The sequence below is a fragment of the Homo sapiens genome, chromosome 2 (genome assembly GCF_000001405.40).
Source record: "Homo sapiens chromosome 2, GRCh38.p14 Primary Assembly".
Classification (NCBI taxonomy): domain Eukaryota; kingdom Metazoa; phylum Chordata; class Mammalia; order Primates; family Hominidae; genus Homo; species Homo sapiens.
In genome coordinates this window covers 51,739,895-51,765,360 of record NC_000002.12, presented here as the reverse complement: position 1 = coordinate 51,765,360, position 25,466 = coordinate 51,739,895, and the positions used below count along the sequence as shown (strand labels likewise).

The 25,466-nt window shown below is 32.8% G+C and overlaps 1 long non-coding RNA gene across 1 annotated transcript in view; it reads right to left on the bottom strand.

Moving 5' to 3' along the window:
• The window catches only part of NRXN1-DT (NRXN1 divergent transcript), a 1,375,317-nt gene that overhangs the window by 642,557 nt on the left and 707,294 nt on the right, over positions 1-25,466 (bottom strand). Inside the window, exon 6 of the long non-coding RNA NR_135237.1 lies at positions 3,187-3,272. This is a non-coding gene — a long non-coding RNA (NRXN1 divergent transcript). The remainder of the gene's footprint in view (positions 1-3,186; positions 3,273-25,466) is intronic.

Below are 25,466 nucleotides of genomic sequence, written 5' to 3'. Positions count from 1 at the left end.
TTGTATCAAAAATAGTTCTTATTTTAAGGTTACAGAGGTTATTTTCCTGTGTGTTCTTCTAGATGTAATTTTAGGTTTTATATGTAGGTCTATGATTTTTTAGTTAATTTTAATCAATGGTGTGAGGTATTTTATTTTTACGCTTGTGGGTAAATAATTGATTTCTGTCATTATTTCTTGAAAACAAAATCCAATCTCCACTGAATTGTTTTTTTTTTTTTTTACCTGAGTTATAAATCAGTTGTTCATATATGTGTGGATCTGTTTGTGGACTCTCTGTTCTCTTCTGTTTATCTTTTTTATTTGTATATTTATGTCAGTACTACGCACTGATTTAAGACCTTTCTTTTTATGTATTATTGGGTATTTACTGCTCTACATACAGCTCTAAATAGTGATCTAGTGGTATTCCACAAAATTTGACATGTTGTGTTTTTATATTTAGTTCAAATTACCTTAGATATTTAGATTTAATTTCATCTTTGACCTATATTTAAAAGTTTATTTAAATTCCAAATATTTAGAGCTCTTTTAGTTATCTTTCTCTTCTTGATTTCTAATTATTGCATCACTTGAATCCTTTTATGTTTATGTAGTCTTGTTTTATGTCCAAGAAGATGTTCTATCTTGATAAATATTATGAAGGCATTTGAAAATAATGGGAAAATAATCTGTATTCTACTGTTGTATTCTGTTGTTAGGTGGTATGATTTTTAAGTATCAATAGACATGTTTGTTGTTTTTAGAGTAATGATTGAATTTTCTATAGTCTTACTGATTTTCTGTCTACCTGTTTTATCAGTTCTGTGTACCTGTTTTATCAGAGGAGAGTGTTGAAATCACTGACAATGATTTTGATGTGTTTTTTTCTCCTTTTAATTTCAAAAGTTTTTCTTTATATTGTTAACATTATGCCATTAGGTATATCAATGTTTAGAATTTTTATGCCCTTTTGATGAATGAGCCATTTTATGTTCATGAAATGACACTCTCTATCCCTGGTAACATTTTTTTGACTATTAAATTAAGTTTCTGACATTCATTAAAAAAACTCTTCAGACTTACTTTTGATTAGTTTAACATGGTACATATTTTATATCCTTTTGCTATTTTAAACTTTTTATTCTGAGAAAATTGTAATATTTGTGTTAAATTGTAGAAAATAATAGAGATTACATATATCCTTCAATTGATATCTCCTAATTGCAACACTGTGCCAGGATATAGTCATTGATATAGTCAAGATACAGAACATCTCCATCAAAACTAGGATCTCTCACGTTACCCTTTATAACCACATCCTATTTCTTACTATTCCACACCATTCTTAAATCCCAGAAACCACTAATCTGTTCTCCATCATTATAAATTTGTTATTTCATGAACGTTATGTAAACAAAATCAGGCAGTAGTAACCCTATGGAATTGATCTTTGTAACTCAATGCAATTCACCAGGGATTTTATCCAGGTTGCTGTATTACTACTTTGTTTCTTTGTATTGCCGAATAGTATTTCATGGTATGGATGTGTCACAATTTTTTTACAATTAACCAGTTGAAGAGCATCTGGGTTGTCTCCAGTTTTTGTCTATTACTAATAAAGCTGTTATCAACATTCATGTACAGATTTTCATTTCTCTGGGATAAATTACCAGGAGTGCAATTGCTGGGTTTTACACCAATTACGTGTTTTGTTTTTAAGAAACTGCCAAGTTGTTTTTGAGAATAGCTGTATCATTTTACATTCCTGTAAATAACTACTGGAGTTGAACCTCTTCTCATGTACTTATGTCTTATCTCTGTATCCTTCAGTGGTGATATTTCTCTTTACCAAATCTGTATTTTACTAGGATGTGATTTGGGGAAATTACTTAGCAGAATATTTCAGTTTCCATATTTATATGATAGAAATGCTATTAGTAATTGCCTCATAGTATTGGTATGAAGGTTAAATAATTTGATATGTGCTTTGTGCTTAGGCCGAAACATTGGTTATCATATTGTATTATTATTGTTACCATTATTTAATTTAGTCATGTACCCTGTCTACCTCATAGGATACTCCTTGATAGTTGGGATTTTTATGTCTACTGTTTTATCCTAATGCCTTAATTAGAATGTGGTACATAACAGATAGTTAATAAATATTACTAAAATGAAAGGTGACTCACATATTAGAAAGTAACAAGTGAATATTTAAGTTTCCACCAGTCAAAATTGATAAGCCCTTTCAAAACCTAGTCACCACTTAAACTTTTGTATTTTAGACAAATTCCTCCTTATTAAGTAGACCGATCCTACAAAATAGGCTTCTGCTATATTCATCTTCTTTATCTTTAAAACTTTAACTCCATTGCTGTTGCTTTCTAGGGTTACTTTTAAACTTTGCTTTGTATTTCTAAGTACATAGGAAAACGTAAAAAGCAGTTCTATCCAGGAGCCATGTATTAAAGGTTTCCTTCTTTTAATACAATAAAGCAAGACAAGCTTAACTAAATCATTACCATCAATATGTCAGTTGCCTAACTCTCAGTCTATTTCTAGGAAACAATTCTTACTCATTACGCGCTTGTGAATTATTACCAAAACTTCTGTGGAGGAGTATAACTTCAGGTACACCAATGGTCAGTAATAAGTTGCAAGGCTTTATATAATACATTTTACTATTCAGTCTAAGTAGATAAAAGAAACATTAAATTGCTTTTTAATTCATGAAAATCTCTACTGATACATTAATTCAAATAAAATAAAATTTCCTCAAAATAGAAAGTGAATTGATTTTAATAAGAAACACTTTTCTGTAATGATCCCTGCAATTTATGATTGAATAAAATTAGATATGAATTTGGTACAAAAGTTTCTCATAAAATAGTGTAAAGTTGTACTTATAAAAAACAAATGATCCACTTAAGAACTTACACCCTAGCGCTACCTTCCCTTCTAAGTATTTGAGATTTTACTTCTTGAGTTGTTCAGAAAGGGCATCAGGATAAAAAATAATATCTGTGAGTTAATTAATTCTATACATTTATTTGCTGGACACTAGTAAAGTATGACAAGAGGATTATGGCAAATGGTAAGCTGACCAATTGAACTCAAGTATACACATTTCCCTCTTTCCCTATTATTCTTAATTTTTAAATTAGGTTCTCTTCTGTCTTTTTATTTCATTTATTAATAACTTACCTCAAAACTGCAGTTGGCCTTGGAGTGGAACAGGTTTTTGTAGCAGCATTGTCCTCTAAGCAAATCACACTATTCACTTTGCTCTCCTAATTAATTCAAGACAAAATATAAATACATAGTATTAAAGCAAAAGAAGCGATAATCCCCATCTACGTATTTACATATTTTCTTATTCACACTCCCCCTTTCATTTTATTTGTCACTAAAATCATGCTAATTTAATAAGAAAAAGCTGGCAATGTAGTATTCAAATATGCACCATTGCAAAAAAGATTGTAACTATATTTTATATGCATGGTCTATGTTCAAGTTATTTTTACATTGGATATGAAATATTAATAACAATTACATTGACATGTTTTGTGGCAATTAGCCTGTCTTTCTTGTCTTAACAACTATTGAAGTAATCTTCCTCCCTATAAATTATTGGTAATGTGCAACCGAATGCATGCTTTACTATGTGATTTTTAAAAATTCTTTAAATAGATTTTCATAAAACAGATGCTGGAAATAAATGCAGGCAGAAACACATTTTTAAATAAATTTATTGCTTCACTAAATTAAACATCAATAAGGCTACTGAAGTAAAGCTAATATCAGGCTATGCTATATTGGATTGGCATTTCTAGATTTTTCTAAGCACAATAATTAATCTTAGAAATATCCTCAGCTGTCTAGCGTGGGTAACTACCAACACAGTCTTTTCCTGCAAAGTATTTGATTTTCATAAAATTTTATTTCCATTACCAATGAAAAGTTGTGATAAAAATACTGAAACGCAAGTAATACCTAACAGGCTAAATGAAACTAGTATTGTAGTAGTTGTTTAGGAATATGAGTCATATTTATTTATATTAATTTTATAAATAAGGATATATAATATGTTACATAATATATAATAAAATATATTATAAAGTACAACAAAAGTATATATTATATATTAATATAACATAAAACATATAATATATCATATGCTAATATAAAATATATATTTATATTTATATAAAATATAATATATAAAATCATATACTATTTTATAATATAAAATAATTATATAATATATAATATAAATATAATTATATGTAATATATATTATATATCCTGATATATATAATACCTCATAGTTCTGTAGAAAATGATAAAATGAGCTTATGCATGAATCTGTTGCTCTATAATTGAAAGCAATCTGAAACAAAATATAAAATATTTACGTTGTACATTTAACATATGCTTTTAATATATCCATTCTGCTCAAGTATGTTCAATGCACACTTACTTGTAATGTATGTTTCAGTTTCAGTGTAAATTATTACTGAATTCGAAACGTCAAATGTTGCAATTTTTTTTGTAACTATTAAGGTAACAATGCAATGATACTGGGAACAAACATTGTAGAGTAAGCATGATAGATACTATGAATTTGACATATTTTTTTCAAACTGAGCTGAATGTTACAATGTAGACTGGAATGTTCTAAAGTCTATTTGCTTTAAAATAATCTATTTTTTTGCATGACTGCCTCCTGAATCCCCATGGCATGTGGTTTAGAATTTCCAAGGTTTACAGTAATTAAATTTATATAAGTGAGTCTAATGTTGCTGAGGCACAAAGTTATCAAAAGTTACAGAAGTTTGGAAGTTATCCCAAAGTGGGACTAATGGAAACATCATGATAAAATATGTAGAAAACATCATAAATAAGTTAGAAAAGTAATTAATTCACCCACCAAATAAAATTCATGATACAATTAAACAAACTGAATTATAACATAACATGTTTTAAATTACATATAGAAAACATGTCACTGGCTCATGATAGATTTGTGTTTCTGAAAGAATAGAAGAAAAAATCAAGAAAAATATTCCCCAAATTCAAACATTATTTTTTCCTCACACATTTTCTTCATAACATCCTCACTCTTTGGGGGAAACATGAGAGAAAACACTGGATTTAGAAGATAAGGAGTCTGATCTGATTCTAGATTTCACTCTCAAAACTAATGTGTTTTTCCATCTCTAAAGGAGTACTTGAACTTGCTACCCTAGTTTAATGCTTTAAAAATGATTATTATTAGGTATACAGTTTATTTTTACAATATAAAACTGAACGATTTTTATTCAAATACTTGTCTAGGCAGTTGAGTCATTATTTTTGTTTTGAGGTTCAGCAGTGTCTTAGTATAACAAATAACATTTGACTGGCATGTTTAGTCATTTTTATAAAAAACCATTTCTGATGAGCACTTTAATATTTTCTAATCAAAATCACATATTTAGCTCAGTAATTCTTGTTAGTTTTCTGACATCCAGCCGTCATTTCTTACATTTCATAAAAGGTTCATTGACAGAATAAGAGAACATCTTTGCTGTAGCTTCCTATGTTTTTGTATCTCCAAATATCATCCTGTGTAAAATAACCAGGCTATTTTAATCTTGACTCACTACCACTTTCTAGCAAATCATTCAGATCATTTCATGGGAAACATACCTTTACTGAGAAACTGAATACTGCCTTTCATAGTTATTTGCTACTGAAAATATGAATGAGCTATGTGGTCTGGAACAAATCATTACCTTTCAATAACTCAGTTTCCTCTACTGTAAAATTAAAAATGATGCATAATTTATAACTCATAGGATCAAACACAACCATGTTAGGCACACAGTAAATGTGCTATAAGTGTTTGCTCTCAGTATTCCTACCCATCTATGGCATTTCAGGATTCTATTCTACTAATGCTCTATTTAAACAACTGTACTTAATAGGTATGTGGTACCTTCTAAAATGCTAGAAACATATTGGTATTTTTTATTTCCTTATGCTGTCCTAAATATTGCCTCAGACAATACAATAATAGTCTGTTAGTCTAGACATCAGTGCAGTAGCAGTCTTTATTTCTAAATTGAATTACTTTTTATTATTCCATATGGAAGCAGGACAGTTATTCCTCCCATGGAGAATATGTATAGAAGAACAGGAAAAGCACTTCTAGAAGAATCAGTAAGTGGAATTACAATTCCCAACTTGTTTTGTAACTTTGGTTAAACCATTTATTTCTTTCTGCATCACTATTTCTTCATCTGTAAAATAGGCCCAGTATGTCTTTACTTATGTCACAGGGTTGCTGTGAGGATAAAACCAAGTATATTTGAAAAATTTCTTTGAAAAACAGAAAACACTGTAAAATACTAAGCAGCATTAGTATTAGGAATTTGATAGCAGGTGTTTTATTGTGTCTAGAGAACAGGGGAATTATATTACTAAGTATTAGCCTTTGGCCTCATAGAACTTTAAAACATCTTAATTTATGAAATAAATGTCAAGGCAGATTCATTTTTATGATGGTTAAATGTTATGGCTCTTTATCAATTTTTTTAAGCCAAATCTCATTTTTAAAAGGCTATTTATCATGAATTTGACATCTTGTATTGATGAGAGTGTATCAGCTTCTTGGAAGGCCTGCATCTATCAAGAGTTAATATGACATCTTAAGCTGTGTAAGGACATCTTGACTCATGGTATTTTTTATTGAACAAAAGGGCATAATATATCCATATAAAAATGTTCTTTTCTCAGACGTCAAGAACAAAGACAAAATACATACATCACTCAAACAACACCAAACAACTAACAAAAATAAATCTACTTTGAGAGAGATATTAGTCTTTAAGAACCATCTTTTTCAAAAACCACACTTGGGGCTCTTTAGCTTACATTTAATCTCCTTAATATACATTCACAATGTCATTTGTTTGTTTATTTACCTTTTCTACTTCCTTAGTGTAATATACTAAAGGACAGTTGAGCTGATATATGTTTTAGGAATTTTGTCTACTCTCCACTGTTTGCAAAATCCTTTTAGAAGTTTGACAATAACATACCTTCCTTTATTGATTTCTTCTCCTCAATTCAGCAATATTGATTTTTTTGTGTGCATTTACAACACTACTCCATTTTGTTTAATTCTTTATGACTCAGCATTGCTGACAAAGAAGCTGAAACATCTAGAACTTAAAAAAATACCTCTGATTGAGTAGTTGTCCTAGAGCTAGAGATAAGAATACAAAGACACAAAAATGGGACGTCTCATGGGGCGCTATAAAATTCATGCAGGTTATCTTTGTTTTAAAGATTAGAAATTGAAAATAGATTATTAACACTGATGTGGGATCTTGGAAATTAGCAATATTTATAAAACCTTTTAGATCATGTTTCACAGGAGTTTTCATTCATTGCCTGTAAAACTTCCTTTACCTTAAAATATTGGCAAAGAAATAGTCAGTGGTAACCGAGAAAGCAATATTCTGTAGTGTACAATACTGCCTCCATTCTAAGCACTCTAATTGGATAAAGGGTGGTAACCTACTACAAAGAATATCATCTATGGATAGCCCACTGACCTGTAACTAATGGGACATAACAACAACAACAACAAAAGAGTGAGACAAATCAGTTTTCTCTCCCAGAAATTTAAAATAGAAAATTAATTGAGGGAGATTAAAGAGATATTGAAAAACTAGAGAATTTATCATCACCAAACAGAGGTATTGAGACAAGAGAATAAGCAAATAGAGAAAGTGATTTGCTATGGGAAAGATGAAAGTATACATACAAATATTAGTTTCTTTATACTAATAAAGAACAGTAAAATTAAAATTCATCTTTCAGGCGCTAAAGTTCATACAGTAGCCTTAAACCAGAATGTTCCTAAAACTCCAAACTTTGCCTTGAGGTATCTCCAGGTTCTTCCTCTGAATGAGTTCACTTATTAGTGAAAGTGATATTTTCATGAGCATTTCATAGAAGTATGCATAAATCCAATGGGTATAGAGAAAGAAAGAGAGGAGTGGTAAACCCTAAGCAAGGAAGTCTAGAAAGACATAAGCAGAAATAATACATATTAGTTGAAGGACGAAAAGAGATGAAATCCACTGGGTGCTGAAGTGTAAGCAGATGAGAATTTAATAACGAGTTCTCCAAACTTAAAAATTGACATTTGGCAAAATGAAATCTATTGATTTATTTCCTATATTATAGCCCAGAGTAGAAATCAGGAAAAATACAAATAGGTAGATAGAACGTGTGTGCCAAAGGTCATAGAAAAGTTTATTTAAAAGTTGAAGAAATAAATAAACTTAATAAATGAGGTAGGAAGTATTTATTGAAAATTGCATAAAACACTGCATTTTAAAATGTAACATGATTTCATTTCAAATATGATTTTAACAAAGATATGGAATTGTAAATTTATTGACAATTATTAGGAAGTGGCTTCTTGTTTTATATTGTTTGATGATATTATTCTTTCTAGTTTTAACTTCAGTGCTTTTTACAGCCTGGATTCACGATTTTTTCATACTGCTTGTCCGTTAAAAATAAAATTTAAAATTTTTTGTTCTTTTAAATATTAATGCCACTTATTTGAAACCTTCAACAAGCTTTCCTTAGAATTCAGTTGTTCTTATAAATGTCTTGTAAGTGGTGTATGGATATAACGAATACATCTATTTACTGATAACCTATTGACCTCTTTCTCCTATGCTTTCTCAACTGAACCATAGTCACTAGACATTTCTCAAGTTTCCCTTCTGATTTTTAATTCTGGGAAATAACAACCACCCATATTATTTCATAAATACATTTTGGGGATTTTTAAGGCAGTAAATTACTACATTTAAATATTTATTTTTGAATAGCATTAGTAATTACATTATATAAATATTAAACTGCCCTGGAAAAAATTATTAATATTTTCTCTCTATTACTCCAAGTCATATGTATATCTGTAAGTATGGATATATATTCCTTTAAAAAAGCAAATTACTATTTTCATTAAAATGTATACTTGAACATTGCTAAGAGAGTAGATTTTAAGTATTCTCAACACAAAAATTGTTAAGTATGTGTGGTCTTGAATTTATTAAATAGCTTAATTTAGCCATTCCACACTGTGTGCACATATGGAAACATCATGTTCTATACCATAAACCTACACAATTTTTACTTGTCAATTAAAACAATAAAAATTTTAAAAGTGGCTCATATAATTAATGTTTAAATTCTGATTTTTTTTTGATTAAAGTATTTCTTATATACCTTTCCATGTAGGTAAATATGGCTCTATGTCATTTATTTAGGAAATATTTAAAAATTAATCTATTGAGATACATACAAACACATATATATTGTACATAATATAGAATGTTAGACTCCTCCTGCTTCCATTGATATGATGGTATCTAAATAAGTGTGAAGCACACCTGAATTTCAGTAGTAATTAGATAAATATGTTCCATGATTTTTAAAAGCCTGCTCCACTTGGAAGATAAAATGGTGAAGAGAACAGGAGAGAAGAGGTTGCTAGAGAGACTTACTTAAGGAGATGTATTAGTCCCTTCTCAGGTTGCTATAAAGAAATGCCTGAGAGTGGGTAATTTTTAAAGAAAAGGGGTTTAAGTGGCTCATGGCTTTGCAGGCTGTTCAGGAAGCATAAGCTTCTGCTTCTGAGGAGGCCTGAGGATGCTTCCCATCATGGCAGAAAGAGAAGGAGAAGCAGGCACATCTTACCTGGCCACCAGAGCAGAAGGAAGAGAGAGCTAGGTTAGAGGTGTTGCATACTTCTAAACAACCATATATTGCAAGAACTCTTTCACTAGAGCAGCACCAAAGGGGGAAATCTGCCCCCATGATCCAATCAGCTCCCACCAGGCACCACCTCCAACACTGAGGATTATAATTCTACATAAGATTTGGGCAAGGCACAGATCCAAACTGTATCTGGAGAATTGCTACTCTGCTGTCTCACTGAATTTTCTTCCTATGGGCACAGCAGGATGCTACCTTCTAACCAGGCGGTCTTAACTTGTGGGCAGTTTTACTGTCCACAAGATATTTGGCAATGTTTGGAGACATTTTCAGTTTTCACAATTAAGAAAGTGCTCATGGAATCTAGTAAGTAAAAACTAAGGGTACTGCTAACCATCCTACAACATATAGGACAGTCCGTGACAACAAATAATTTTCCAGCTAAAATATCAATAATGCTGTGGTTAAGAAGCCCCAAGCCCCTTGAGACCATTAGAAAGCTGTGAAATACAGTCCACATAGCTGGAAAACACAGAGGACTGGTGCCAGATCCATTCCCAAGAGAGCTAAAATAGACAGTGAACCGTGAACAGAGAAGAGGTGACTATTTGCTGTAATGTTTCTGTTTGGTACTCTGACATTTTGTTGAATCAAGAGATGTGTGATTTTCTTTACTGGAACCAGACATGAACTATAGAGGAGTGAAGGGGCCATTTTGAGTGTCCAGTAAAACTAGCAAAAAGACAAGAAACTCTTAGATAAAAAAATTAGAGGTTGGAGATGTGTTATCGGATGCCCAGGATCTAAGGAAGTAGCTCAGTGCATCATTTGTAATAATTTGCTTGGTCAAGGGAACATCCAAATACCTGTGAAAGCTCCTTGGGAGAGAACCAGCCTGCTAGCAGCTGGAAAAGGGAGAGAGGAAATCAGGAGAAGGAGGCATCCTCTATCTCTCCCTTTCCCACTACAAAATTCCAGTTCAAATCATGCTTGAGCTGGTGCTGCACATTCTAATTACTGGATTGACACTGTATCCTCAGTCACAATATTTGAGTAAAGCTGAGTATTTACCATGCATCATTATATATGTAACCAATTCCCTGTATGCTGTTGATGGATATTTAAGTAGTTTCCAGTTTCTTCTTACGGTAACAAAAATGGGGTAATGAATTATTTTCTTCTATTGATGGACATATAATTAGCTTCCAGTGTCTTACTGTAAAAAAAAAAATGGTGTAATGAATATAAATCTATTTTCTTACTTTCTCCCTCGCCCTCTCCGTATCTCCCTCTCTTTCTTTCCTTCCTTTCCTTTTCTTTCTTCCTTCTTCTTCCCTCCTTCCTTCCTTATTCTTTTCTTCTTTCTTTCTCTTTCTTTCTTTCTTTCTTTCTTCTTTCTTTCTTTCTTTCTTTCTTTTTCTTTCTTTCTTTGTCTCTCTCTCTCTCTTTCCTTTCCTCTCTCTCTCTCTCCTCTCATTCAGAAATTAAAAAAACATGATTTAGAGTAAGTGAAGAAGCATTAAAGGTATTGAACTACCTTATTCAAGAATTAGTATTTTCTTAACAATTTCATTTCACGTCAGAAATCATGGAAGTAAAACTTTCTCCTGTTTTATTTGATTCATTTTTGTGGGATCATATTAAGGGAGTGGGCATTTTTATATTCATATTTTACCCACGCAGTTTTAACAAGGACTGTAACAAATAAATACAGATCAAACTTAGTCAAAAGCTATTTTGTACTGGGTTGCACAGCACTAATAGTACATTCATGGTTCTAATATTGAAAACAATCCTATTAGGATGGTACTATTATCCCAATTTTACAAAGGAAATAATTTAGGAACAGAGGAATTAATAGGCTTGCTTTCCCAAGGTTTCATTGCTACTATGTTATGATGTCAGTATGTCAAGGCAGGTGAATCTTGCTCTATACTGACTCCCTATATTGAATTATTCTATTTCCTTTAATGGATTCTGAAATAAACTCATTTCAATACAGCTCATTTCCCTAATAATAATTATATTTAAATAGTGCTTTCTCGTATATGACAACCCTATGAAATAGGTAAAGGCTATTATTCTTACTTTATACATATAAAATTGAGGCAGTGGCAATTAAATAATTCATTCAAGATTACAAAGCCAATAAATAGTTTTTTTTAAGAAAAATATTTGAACCTAAGCAGTGTGGCTTAGTGCTTTTAAGTATTGTGTTCTACTGCTCCTTTATAGAAGAATGTTTAAAATTTAGATATAATGACTTGTTTAGTACAATCTTTCAATGTCCTTCTTATATTTCTAAATGTATTTTCTTAAATAATTTTTTAAGAAGAGTCTATCTACTCCAGCTAAATCGATTTCCTTTTCTTATGACATCAGCTCATAATTGTAATAATAAACCCAACTGTGGCTGAAATCACAGATGGCTCATACAGGTGAAAATGAGCTCAGGTGACAAGGAAGATGTAGCTGATTATATCCTAAGGAACAATAATTCTGTTTTTTCAGCAGACTCAGTTAGTGATTGAATTTTTTTGAAGAAAAGTAATTAGAAATAACAGCTGGATGAGCAGAAACATTTTCAACCAGGTGGTCAACAAAATTAAAATATTGAAAAGTAAATGAATAATGAAAAATTTTTTTAGATTGAACAAGGGACTTTTTAAAAAGAGATTAATGGAGTCTTTATACAAATAGCAGTTTAATTTTGCAGGAAACTCAATAATTAATCTGACAAATCAGTGAGAAGGTATTCTGGGGACATGGTAGCCCAAACATATGTGTAATGCCTTCTACTATTTTTATTCCAGTTCCGCTTCTGAGTGGAACATTAAGTGGGCAGTTTGGAAGACAAGTTCTAGAGAGTTGTGAATTTTATAAATCACCCTAGGCAAAAAGAATTGGTCACATGTAGTACTTCCCCCTGATTGAGCCTGACCATTACTAGGAGACCAATTTTAATGAAAGACAAACTTCTTTGTAGACAGCTTTTACTTCAAGACTCAAGTACAAAGAAGAGGAAAGGTAAAAGGTATTGAATCTCTCTGGCTTGAGAAGAGCGTTGATGAAGGTGCACAGGTGAACTGAATATTTGCCTATTCCTGAGATCCAATAACGTAAACTGCTGCCATGAAGAACTCAGACCAGAAACTTCTTCTTCTTGTTTTATTTGAGAAGAGACGCGTTGGTAATTGTGTACAAGTAACTTTTAAGAACTAGAAGCCATTGTATCTACCACAATTTGTGGAATATCTACTTGAAAGACCTTAACAGCCTTACCTGAAATCTATGCGATATAGAGTCACAGGCTGGCCAAGGAATTTAAAAATGCTCTTAGGAGAATAGAGAAATTAGTGTATAAAAATATGCATATTATTTAGAAACAGCAAGCTTCTAGAGAAATCAAGCTATCAGAGAAGATGGATCTCACATAAGATAAAACTTACCAAAGGAAGAAGGAAAAATACTTCAGCGTGAATCATATTTTCTGAAATTAAAATCTACGATTTCAGTGTTTAAAATTCCAGCTCTTCTTACCAGCAGTTTGGTAGACTATATGTCCAGAAAAACATTCTTGAAAGAGGACAACTAAAAATGCTGTGTTAACCGCTTTAAAAACATTATTTCAAATCAGGGCAGAGTTGAAAGTTCATAAAGCCTTAAGAATCCAGAAATAGTAACCAACTATAGAAATGATCCCTGAAATAAAGACTTAAACGTAAGACCTAAAACCATAAAATCCTAGAAGAAAACCTGGGCAATACCATTCAGGACATAGGCATGGGCAAAGACTTCATGATTAAAACACCAAAAGCAATGGGAACAAAAGCCAAAACTGACAAATGGGATCTAATTAAACTAAAGAGCTTCTGCATAGCAACAGAAACTATCATCAGAGTGATCAGGCAACCTACAGAATGACAGAAAATTTTTACAATCTATCTATCTGATAAAGGGTTAATATCTAGAATCGACAAAGAACTTAAACAAATTTACAAGAAAAAACAACTGCATCAAAAAGTGGGCGAAGGATAGGAACAGACACTTCTCAAAAGAAGACATTTATGTGGCCAAAAACATATGATAAAAAGCTCATCATCACTGGTCATTAGAGAAATACAAATCAAAATAACAATGAGATACCATCACAAGCCAGTTAGAATGGCGATCATTAAAAAGTTAGGAAACAACAGATGTTGGAGAGGATAAGGAGAAGTAGGAACACTTTTACACTGCTGGTGGAGGTGTAAGTTATTTTAACCATTGTGGAAGACAGTGTGGCAATTCCTCAAGGATCTAGAACCAGAAATACCATTTGACCCAGGAATCCCATTACTGAGCATATACCCAAAGGATTATAAATCATTCTACTATAAAGACACATGCACACGTATGTTTATTGCAGCACTGTTCACAATAGCAAAGACTTGGAACCAACCCAAATGCCCATCTATAATAGATTAGATAAAGAAAATATGGCACATATACATCATGAAATACTATGCAGCCACAAAAAAGGATGAGTTTATGTCTTTTGCAGGGACATGGATGAAGCTAGAAACCATCACTCTAAACAAACTAACACAAGAACAGAAAACCAAACACCGCATTTTCTCACTCCTAAGTGGGAGTTGTACAATGAGAACACATGGACACAGGGAGGGGAACATCACACACTGGGGCCTGTCAGGGGTAGGGGGTTAGGGGAGGGGTAGCATTAGGAGAAATACCCAATGTAGATGATGGGCTGATGGGTACGGTGAACCACCATGGCACATGTATACCTATGTAACAAACCTGCACATTCTGCACAGGTAATAATAATAATAAATATTAATAATAATAAAGGCATTTAAAATAGCTCAAGAAAAAAAGAATCCAGAAACATTTCTTTTATAAAAAGCACAAATCCATCACCACAAAGCTAACTTTTGCTTTACAGGTATGTTAAATCCAGATAGAAAGTATACAATGATTATTCAATTGTTTTTTAAAAATAAACAAGCATTAAAATTCTGTTAAAATCCTGTAAAAAAGTCTTGAAACAGAACAAAACACCCCTTCTGGAAATGAAAAATAAAGTAAGAACAATTATAAACTTCATAGACAGGATAAATGTCAGATAAAACATGCTTGAAGATAAAATTATTTAATTGTAAAATAAATCTGAAGATATTATTCCAGAGGGATAAAAAAGGAAAAGCATGAAGTTGACATAAGGAAGATAGAGTAACCTTTAAAACAAAACAGTATCTATGAAAAGGAAGTTCTAGAGAGCCATACAGTAAAATGGGGGAAGGCAGTATCTGAAGATATTTTGTCTGATAACTAACTAGAATTAATGAAACACACAATCCTTAAATGCATTAAAAAAAAACATTCATGGTGAACTTAAAAAAAATGCTTAACGGCCGGGCGCGGTGGCTCACGCCTGTAATCCCAGCACTTTGGGAGGCCGAGGCGGGTGGATCATGAGGTCAGGAGATCGAGACCATCCTGGCTAACAAGGTGAAACCCCGTCTCTACTAAAAATACAAAAAATTAGCCGGGCGCGGTGGCGGGCGCCTGTAGTCCCAGCTACTCGGGAGGCTGAGGCAGGAGAATGGCGTGAACCCGGGAGGCGGAGCTTGCAGTGAGCCGAGATTGCGCCACTGCAGTCCGCAGTCTGGCCTGGGCGACAGAGCGAGACTCCGTCTCAAAAAAAATAATAATAATAATAATAATAATAATGCTTAACACATCATAATACAAATATAGAATAACAACAAGACAAAATAAAGCAAAATATTTACAATAAAATAATAGTAACAAGTCTATCAAAATATGTGGTAGACCTTTGCGGGGAAGTATTTTAAAGCATTATTAAAATATATTAAAGAAGTTTTAATTATATGTTTTCACTTATAAGCAGAAGCTGAGCTATGAAGACACAAAGACATAAGAATGACACAATGGACTTTGGGGACTCGTGGGAAAGGGTAGGAGGGGTTGAGGGATAAAAGACACATTGAGTACAGTGTGCACCCCTTGGGTAATGGGTGCACCAAAATCTCAGAAATCACTACTAAAGAACTTATCCATGTATCCAAACGCATCTGTTCCTCCGAAACTGACTGAAATTTGAAACAAGATATTAAAGAAGTTTTAAGTAAGTAGAAAAATAAAAAAGATACATGTCTTATCACAATTATTCCTCTGTATCTGTAGGTTCTACGTCCATGAATTCAACCAACTGCAAATAGAAAACATTTGAAAAAATAAAAATAAAAAACACCAACAAGGAAAAATAATACAATTTAAAAAACCAATACAGTGTAACAACTATTTACCTGGCACTTACATTGTGGTAGGTATTATAAAGATAAACTAGAGATTACTTAAAGTATATGGGGAAATTGCTGTAGGTTATATGCAAGTAGTACACCACTTTATACAGGAGACTTGAGCATCGGAGGATTTAGGATTTCAGTATCCATAGGTGGGGGAGTGTTGTGGTGGGTAGATGAAACCATTCCCCTGTGGATACCAAAAGCCTGTATATTAAAAGGCCAATTTTCCTAAAATTGATGTATATTTCATACAATTCCTACAAATATCCAAACTGGGTTATGTGGAATTAACAAACTAATACTAAAACTTATATGGAAAAGAAAAGTCCGGATCAGTCCACATCATCATTAAGAATAGGTGTAGGGATTTGTTCTACCAGATACCACAGTTGGATAGAAGCCAAGTAATAGTTATTGTATGATAATGGGGTAGGTCCTGGAGTAGGCAAATAGAACAAAAGATAAAGTCCAAAAATAGATGTATGCACATATGGACATTTGATATAAGACTGATGTTTCCCAGTATGTCAGTGGGAACTGACATATTTTTCAATAAACTGTCATGGGATTTTGCTTATTCCTATGGAATGAAAATAAAATTGTATTCCTAAATGATATCATGCCAAAAATCAAATTTCATGCTATCAAAAACCAACCAGCCCTTGCCAATGGGAATGTGGAGAAAGGATATTCACATACAGTGCTTCAAGAATGTGAAATACTAAAGTTTTTAATAAAAATATTCTGACAGTTATCTATTTAAAAAATCCACATATCTTTCAACCCGCAGTCTCACTCCTGGGGTTTCATTCCACCAAAAGAAAAGCACCTAATAGTACCTAAGAATATCTATAAAAGCTGCTTATTGCAGTGCTTTCATGAGTGAAAAAAAATGGGTGTAAATATTGGAATTTTAGAATAATTTGTATTACCACAGAATTCCATTTAGCTAGCCATTATGAAGAGTTAGTTAAAACTATTTTGGTTGACTCACAGGGATTCCAGTTATATTTGTTGAAGGAGAAAATTTTTTTAAAACTAAGTATAAAACCTTGTGATCTCACTCATGTAAAAAACAATAAGACTTCTGAAACTGTAAAAGTACATATGAAATTTGATATAAAAAATTTAAAGTGTAGAAAGATAGCACAAAGCCCCTAAATACTGGCCATTGAAAATGAGAAATGTGGAAATAGAAAAGCAGAAGAGAAATAAAGAGGTAAGTTTAAAGAGTGAAGAGAAAGCTATTTTTAAAATTGTGCTCACTTTTGTAATTATTACCACATATGTAGAAATGTTTTATAAGTGAATATATCTATGCACAGATAGTGTTATATCAGAGGTCACTGAAATATTTTGACTAGTTGTCCCTCGGTGGAAAATTTCAAGTGATTGTCCTAATACTATTTTATATAATTTCTTTTTTTATGTTTAGTATACATTAATATAATCAGGAAAAAGGTAGTTTCATGGTATGTAGGGGAATGTGAATTATGCTATTAATTGAATATATGATACCAGAAGATCAAAAGTGTAAGAAGTTTGAAATATTTAATTATATGCATTAAAAAGGTCTTGGGTCCAGATTCTAATCGTCATGCAATTAGCAAATGAAAGAGCAAATCATTTCTGGAATAAGGTCCCAATAGGAGATGGTAAATCATGCTTCTAACATCCAAAAAGTCTAGATTTTATGAAAGTAAATTGGTTTTATTTGGATGATTTTCCAGAAGTAAATGTTACTGCTCTAAAATAATAAAAAAAGTGAAAAGAGGGTTGAGTTAGAGACAACTTAGTGGAAAACTAAGTTTAGATGTTTCTGAAAGTTAGAAAATTTCTTTTACTTATATAAAGAATTATATATCTCAATTAATCCTTTGAAAAATAGTAAGCATTCAGCTATTGAAATAAATTACAATCCATTTATTTTGTCTGATATTCTAAAGGCCTAATTTAATTTCAAGACTATGGTCTTGTGGGAGTAATACTTAGGAAAACTCCACATTTCAAAGCACTCTTACATCAAACCTTCTTTCCCTTCCAACTTAAAAAAAATAATCCCCACTGTATTGTAAATCAGTTTTTTTTCAAGAAGCTTGATAAGCCTATCAGCATATTAAGCAAATATTACTGAGACTTTCTCAAAGGAAAATTTTATGTTGTCCCTTCTTCATTGGGAAAATTTTTCATGATTGATTTAGGAACCTATTGTCATTTTATTGTGTGGTGACTTAATTTTCATGATTTCCATTTTACATCAGCCAATTTAATGCTGAGATAATCATATCTGTACTGACTTTTGCAAATAGATAGTTATCACAGTCTGTTTTTGCAAGCATCTACTCTGTTGCACTTAAAAATGTATTTTTGCTACATATCCCTGACATCTACATAAAGAATGAAAATAAACTTGCTAATAGTGTTGCATGGTCAACACGGTTCTTGTCACTAAGAGATTCTTCTTTTCGGTATGCAGTTCCTTGCATTGCTGTTCAATACAAGTTGTTCATGCAGGTGCTCTAAACTTATTTCTATCAGAATAGAAAAAAATAACCCTTTCACATTTGTAACCTTGTCTTTGTCCTTTCTTTTCCTATTAATGTATAATGATGGAGAGGATTGGAGAGAAATTTTTCATTATTTTGAAAAAGTTAAACTTTTCTGATTTTCAGTTTTGCTCCAAAAATAGGTAAAGAGGTGTTGTAGCAGCTGTGGCAATTTAGCTCAAGTGGATCATTTATATTGGCAAACATATGTACCATAAGCTATAAAGGCAGCAGCTTGTGAACCCATTAAATGGTGAAATTCTGCTTCAGCATTTGCTAAAACTTTAGAGACAATAATCCTTTGAGCTGAGCATTGAAGGATGAATTGCAACTTCCAGGGTTAGGAGAGGAGGTACAGCATTATGTATTACAGCTATAATGATAATGCTGTGTTATCAAGACAACAACGATCTAGTTTGGTACCATATGAGACAAGTAGAGTGACTGTAGTTAAAAATAGAGTTTATTGTATATTTCAGAAGAGGTAGAAGATTGGAGACATACTCAACACAAAGAAATTATAAATGTTTGAGATGATGAATAACCTAAATACCTTGATTGGATCGTTACAAATTCTATATGTGTACAGAACATCCTGTGTGCTCTATAAAAAAGTAAAATTATTAGGTATCAATGAAAACTAATAAATTAATTAATAATTGTGTGTATATTTGTAATAGAGATAAGTTAAAAGTTGTATTGGAAAAAACTTAAGTCTTGCCAATCATTTCTAAGCTAGAATAAAAAAAAAAACGTTTGGCAGATTTTACCTCTTTAATTGTCTGTGCTAATCTGTGGCCTCACTTATGTTGGGAAAGAGATATCCACTTCCTGTGGAGAGTGTCTTCTTAAAAGTTTGAGTTCTACATTTACAAAGCTAGGTATGAGGAATGAATATGAGTACATTAGCATAGTGTGCCAGGAATCTTCAGAAAATAAAAGATCAAGGCCCCCATCCTTTCAAAGTTAGTCAAACTTCACTGATGGCTTGAGATGGTTCCAGAAAGGGCCATTGCTGATCACAAATGGAAACTTATTACAAAGGAAGAGGTCTGGGCTGGTAACTCCAACATAACACCAGAGTTTGAGTATTAGAAGCAGAATTCTAGTTCTGGGCACACTTTGTGTCTCAGGCAAGAAGCTCTCTCTTACCTCAGATATGCTGGAATAGTGGTCATTTTGAGGGCACAGTGGTTGAGAACAAAGTGTAAGTGGAAAAAGGTCTAAATTTGGGAACCCCAACATGATGCAGCAGTGGCAACTGTGCAGGCATGTTCACATCATAAAAGTGATTAGGAACATATCCTCCTGTATGTGAATAACAAAAGAAGCAGTGAAAAATCAGGGGCTCTTTTGGTATGAAATAATTTCTGTTTTCCTTTCTCTCACTCTTCCTCACATTAAAAGTGTGAATGGCCACTGCTCAGTGGACTGCGTAAGTGAATCCTGAGGATCCATGTACTATGCATAAGGAAAAGGGAGCAGCAATTGACATTAAAGAGGGAAATATTGGATCAATTGCTAATAAATTCATGGAGTATTTGAGTAATTAAGTTTTAAAATAGGAAATAAAATAGTATGTGTGTTCCATACTAATGAAGAGTGTTATATATTCTGTTTTTTTTCCCTAAAGAAATAGCAAGAAAAAAATGGAAAAAAAAATACCCAACAAGATTAAATATTTTAAAGTTTCTTAGAAGATTAAGTTGCACTTATTTAAGAAATTGGTTCATATATAATACAACTTTTTCCCACAATGCCAGATGAATTTAATTTTACAGAACCTCACTGAAATAAAAATTCTGAAGCACTACCAGATTTAAACTCTTTCTTTAGCAAGGCCCATGTGTCACTTTCAGTAGGTGTCAAATTGATCCAGCTTCCTGATATAGCACTAGTACTTAGTCCAGGTTCAATCCATATTGCAAAGTTATAATAATCACTTCATCTTAGATATTTATTTTCATTGCCCTTAAATGTATGGTCTTTCTCCTAATGTCCTATCAAAAATCAGAAACTACGGGGTAAGTGTAATTGGTGCTTTAACCAAATGAATAAGAGACTTACTGGAGCAGAGTTGAAAATATAGATCATGAGTTCTAATATATAAATAAAATCATCCATCTTTTTTTAAAGTAAAAGACAAAAGAAAACATTTCAGAATGCATGGCAAATATGGGGTATCATGCTCCGACTTTTTCCTCTTGAACAAATGACAACCAATGTTAATTGACATTATTTTTTCCTGATGGGTTTCAGATTTATTTTCAAGTCAGTGCTCCAGGCAGCCACACTCTAACAATTAGAATTAAAATTATAGATAAAATAATTCCCTATCCCTAGATTAGGGAGATTAAAGAGTTTTTGCAGAGGTTATTTAACAATGCTTTTCTGATTATAAACATTACGTATTTGTTGCAGCAACACTGGAATATGGAAACCTAAAAAATACGCTAAAAATAAAATGTTATGAAAACATTCAGATTCAAAACCATAAACATTTAGCACTAGCGAACTATTCAAATTAAAATTTTTTTTTCCTTTATTTTTTTGAGACAGAATCTTGCCCTATCCCCCAGGCTGGAGTTCAGTGGCACAATTTCCACTCACTGCAACCTCCACCTCCCAGGTTCAAGTGATTCTCCTGCCTCAGCCTCCCGAGTAGCTGGGATTACAAGCGCGCGCCACCACACCCGGCTAAGTTTTTTAAATGTATGTAAAATACATAAGTGTTTAATAAAACTGAGGCAATACAATTTGACTCTTCTTTATTTTTCTTTTTTAACACTGAAAGAAGTTTTCCAAATATTCCTTACCATATATTACTCATCATCTTTAATGATTACAAACTTTTATATGTCATATGACATGGATACAATACTTCTAAATTCCACTTTATTTCTCTCAGACCTTCATGATGTTTTCAGTTTTTTTCTTAACAACAAACTTTTATAAATAAATGTATGATTTTATTTTAGCAAGATTTGGTGGTGATGGGGAGATAGAATATTATTGCACTTTTGTAAATTTGAACTGGCAAGGATTCTGACAGATGTTTCAGAATGTGTTGATGTAATGACGCAAGCCCAGGGAGATTGAAAACAAAAAAAAAAAAAAGGAAGACAAATCCAGGCTGGCAGGCAGCCTAGTGTGAAATAACTGCATCTGTGACAACTAGGACCAGGCACCTCAGAACTGGCTCACCTTCCCCAAGAAGGGCAATGTGGAAACATATCTCTACATTACATCTAACTCAGGTTTGTCGTGTAGAGACCCAGGTAGACGGCACGAAATCTATGTCAGATCATCAGTCTGTGATAATAATATCATGAAAGTATTTACTCATTTTTATTATGAAAAATGTGCACATTTTCTATAGTAATTGTAAATTCTCTGCATTCTCTCTCCTCTGTCTCTTCTCTCTTCTCTTCTCCTCCTCTTTTTCTCTCTCTCTCTCTCTGTGCCTGTGTATCTCTCTAACTATGTCTCTTCATTTTCTCTCTCTGTCCCATTCTCTGTAATCATTTATATACAAGAAAAAAGAAAGAAGAAGAGTATTTATTTGCTTAGAGCTGGAGACCAGGGAAGATACAATGCAATTGTTAAATATAGATTATAAAGATAAAAACAGAACACAGTGGTAAGTTTCTGAGTGCACAAATGGGAACTGAGATGATTTTATGAGGACTGAACACTCTTCATAAAACTGTTGGTTAAAATACAACTTTATAGAATAAGCATTTCAAATAGATTATCTAATCATTGACATGCCAACTATTAGTGATATTAAATTCACTTGCATATTTCTGATAATTGGTAAAGTGGAGGCTCCTTTCACGTGAATTTTCTAGTGTCTGAATATACAAATATGCAAGGTGGAAGAGTGTGCAGCGGAGACACTCTAGGGAGATGTGTTTTCCAGAATAAAGAATTTTGTGTTTTCATCTTCCTTTGATCAGGACAGTTGTTCATCATTTGAAAGTAGATGTTAGTAAATGCCTTATGGAGTTTAGGACTAAATCTGACCAGAAAGAGAGAGAACTAGTAATCCCTAGATATCCCTTAGCAAAATGATGCTTTCTTGCATTATGCCACAACTAGTAAATGCTGGTTTATTGCATTAGATTTTACGCCACTGAAGCATAGTCATCAACATACAGAAAACGCTAAACACTGCCATTAGCAATTTGATTTTGCTAAAAAGGATAACAAAGTAAGTACATTTTTCTTTGGCCTAAATTCAATATTGTTTTCAAAATAAGAATTTCAAGGCAAAAATCTATACTATATTCATTAAAAATATTATCATGTTTAAAATTTAATCATAGCCTTACAATTATTTCAAAATGTAGAGCAAGGACCCAGGGTGGTACACAAAGCAATTCATTAAGACACAGGAAAAAGTACTAGAAAATTTTTTACATTTATTCTCTAAGTAGTCTATTTTATGTATTATAGCAGGCTTCATGATTATTATAACATACTAGCGCAATAGCACATTTTTATAACGGAAACAAATCTATATTTTTTGGCTATAGAAATATATCTACTTAAAAAGAAGAAAAATAAAACTAATAGAAGTCTGTACACAAGAAGGAAGGTTTGGGGACTAATGATCTAAGGCATATTTTAGTCATTCTGGTGAAAAACTCACCACATCTCAAGACAGCATACTTTATCTTTACATAATTCTTTCAGATTTTTCAGTAGTTTTGATTAAAATATGCCCCCAATAATGCTCCCTCATTGGTTTCACATCTGCTACTTTACATGAATGAAAGCAAACTTATCTCTACTTTTATGTTAGAGCCAGTTATTTGTAATCAGCTATTAAATTTAATTCATTTCAATACATATTTATTGAGTCTCTGTTATGCTACTGAATGCTGCAGATATAATCTTCATTCATAGAAAATGTATAGTGTATTTGTGGACACATACAATTACAAGAATTATTTTGTCGCAGTAGGATAAGATCAAGGAGGACGAGTGCACTAAGAAAAAGTACCTAATTTGCAGAGAGGGTGGTGGTTCATAGAAGCCTCTCCGAAAATAACGACATCTACAAAATAAGCCCCCTCAGTGGGGCCAAGAAAGCAAAGCTGGTGTCCGGAAGGCCCAAAAGTAAGAGAACAAGGCATGTTTTAGGAAGTGTCAGCAACTCAGTAAACCTCAGGCACAGCAGGTAGACAACATTAAGATCTGAGATGGAATTAGATCAAGAAGATCCCTGTTAGTTATGGCAAAAGTTAAGATTTTATATGCAGAGCAATAGTTAACAGTTAAAGGTCTTTAAACCAGGGAATGATATACTTGGTACTTTAAGAAGTTACCTCTAGTTGTACGGTAAAATAAAATGACTGGATGCTCACAGCCCAAAAGTAGATAAGAAGGCATGGTACCCAAAATGTCTACTTAGACTAGGATTGATTTCATAATGGCACTGCCTTCAAGAGCTGTCAACCCTATCTCCAGACATTTACTTGTAAGATCAGCAGCCTCCAGGGACACTTAAGGCAAGGAAGTGAAAATTCTGTGATAAAGCTGAGGATGTGGAAATGTTTACTTATAAGTGTCCCAAAAGACACAATTGAATCACTTGGAGAAATAAAATCAAGAGAAAGGAGTCCAGAATAGTGTGAGGACAAAGTATGAGTGAATCCATGGAGGAAATTGATTATTAAGTGGTCTAATGTTTTGCAAAGTAACCAACTTATTGAAGGATATAAGACATGCTGGAAAAAGTTGGCCCCAAAATCTCTAACCCTTGGCATGTACAGCAGTACAGGCCTTTTTGGAAGGAGACATTGGTGGCCTGAACTGGTCATTTATCTGAGACTGTCTTCTTCTATCCAGCTAGCTGTATGTTAAAAATGGCAGCAATCTCAAGAAGTTAGTGACATCAGACCCCTCTAAAAGTAGTCTTCTGTGTGTGCTTCAGGCCAAAAATCTCTGATTCTTCTAGCTTATCCTTGTAGCAGTTGGTTTCACATCCCTTCAGGAACTTGATTATCTACAGATTCCATTTTGCCTATGACCATAGAGCACTTTATAAGATTTAATTTTTGATTTGTGCCAACGTCGTTCCAGAAAGAATTTAAAATCGCTAAAATAGGAAATATAAAAATATGTTAAGGAAGAAAATAAGACAATAGGAAAAGGGAGTGAATAACAAAATTTAAATCAATAGTGAGTATAAATATGTAAAACACATGCTGTTGGGTCTCAGATAATTGCCAGAATCAGGCTATGACTTTGACTATACTATTTTCTACAACAAGGGGTATGTTTGTGAGAGTGTGCGTGTGTGAATGTGTGTCTTTGTGTACATTTGCATGCAGGCATGCACATGTCTGTGGTCCTGATTTTGTAAAAGAGAACACTCAGGAAGTCATAAAGATCCAGTTTTTTTTTTTGACTCTGTTCAAGAGTTGTATACAGCTTTAATGTCATGGCCTTTTGTGATGAATCTATTTTCACAGAAGGTTTGCTGAATGACAGCCTAAGTGAATGATACATTAAGTTTGTCAAAGATCACAGCAATCCCTCCAAAATCCACTTCCAAGCACCTAAACCTGTGAAGTTGATGGAGATTCCAGGGCCCCTAGCTCTTGAATGTTCTTCTCTGCAGCTAATCATACCAAGCTATATATTTTTAATGACACTCCTGACCCCTCATCCTGGCCAAGTCAATTACTCTAGTTTAGAATACGTCTGACATTCCACATGGAACTGATAATCTCACAGGTGCTCTGATCTGTAGTCGGCATTCCTGGCTGACTTCAATCACAGCTGGCTGGACTGCTGAAGTAAGACA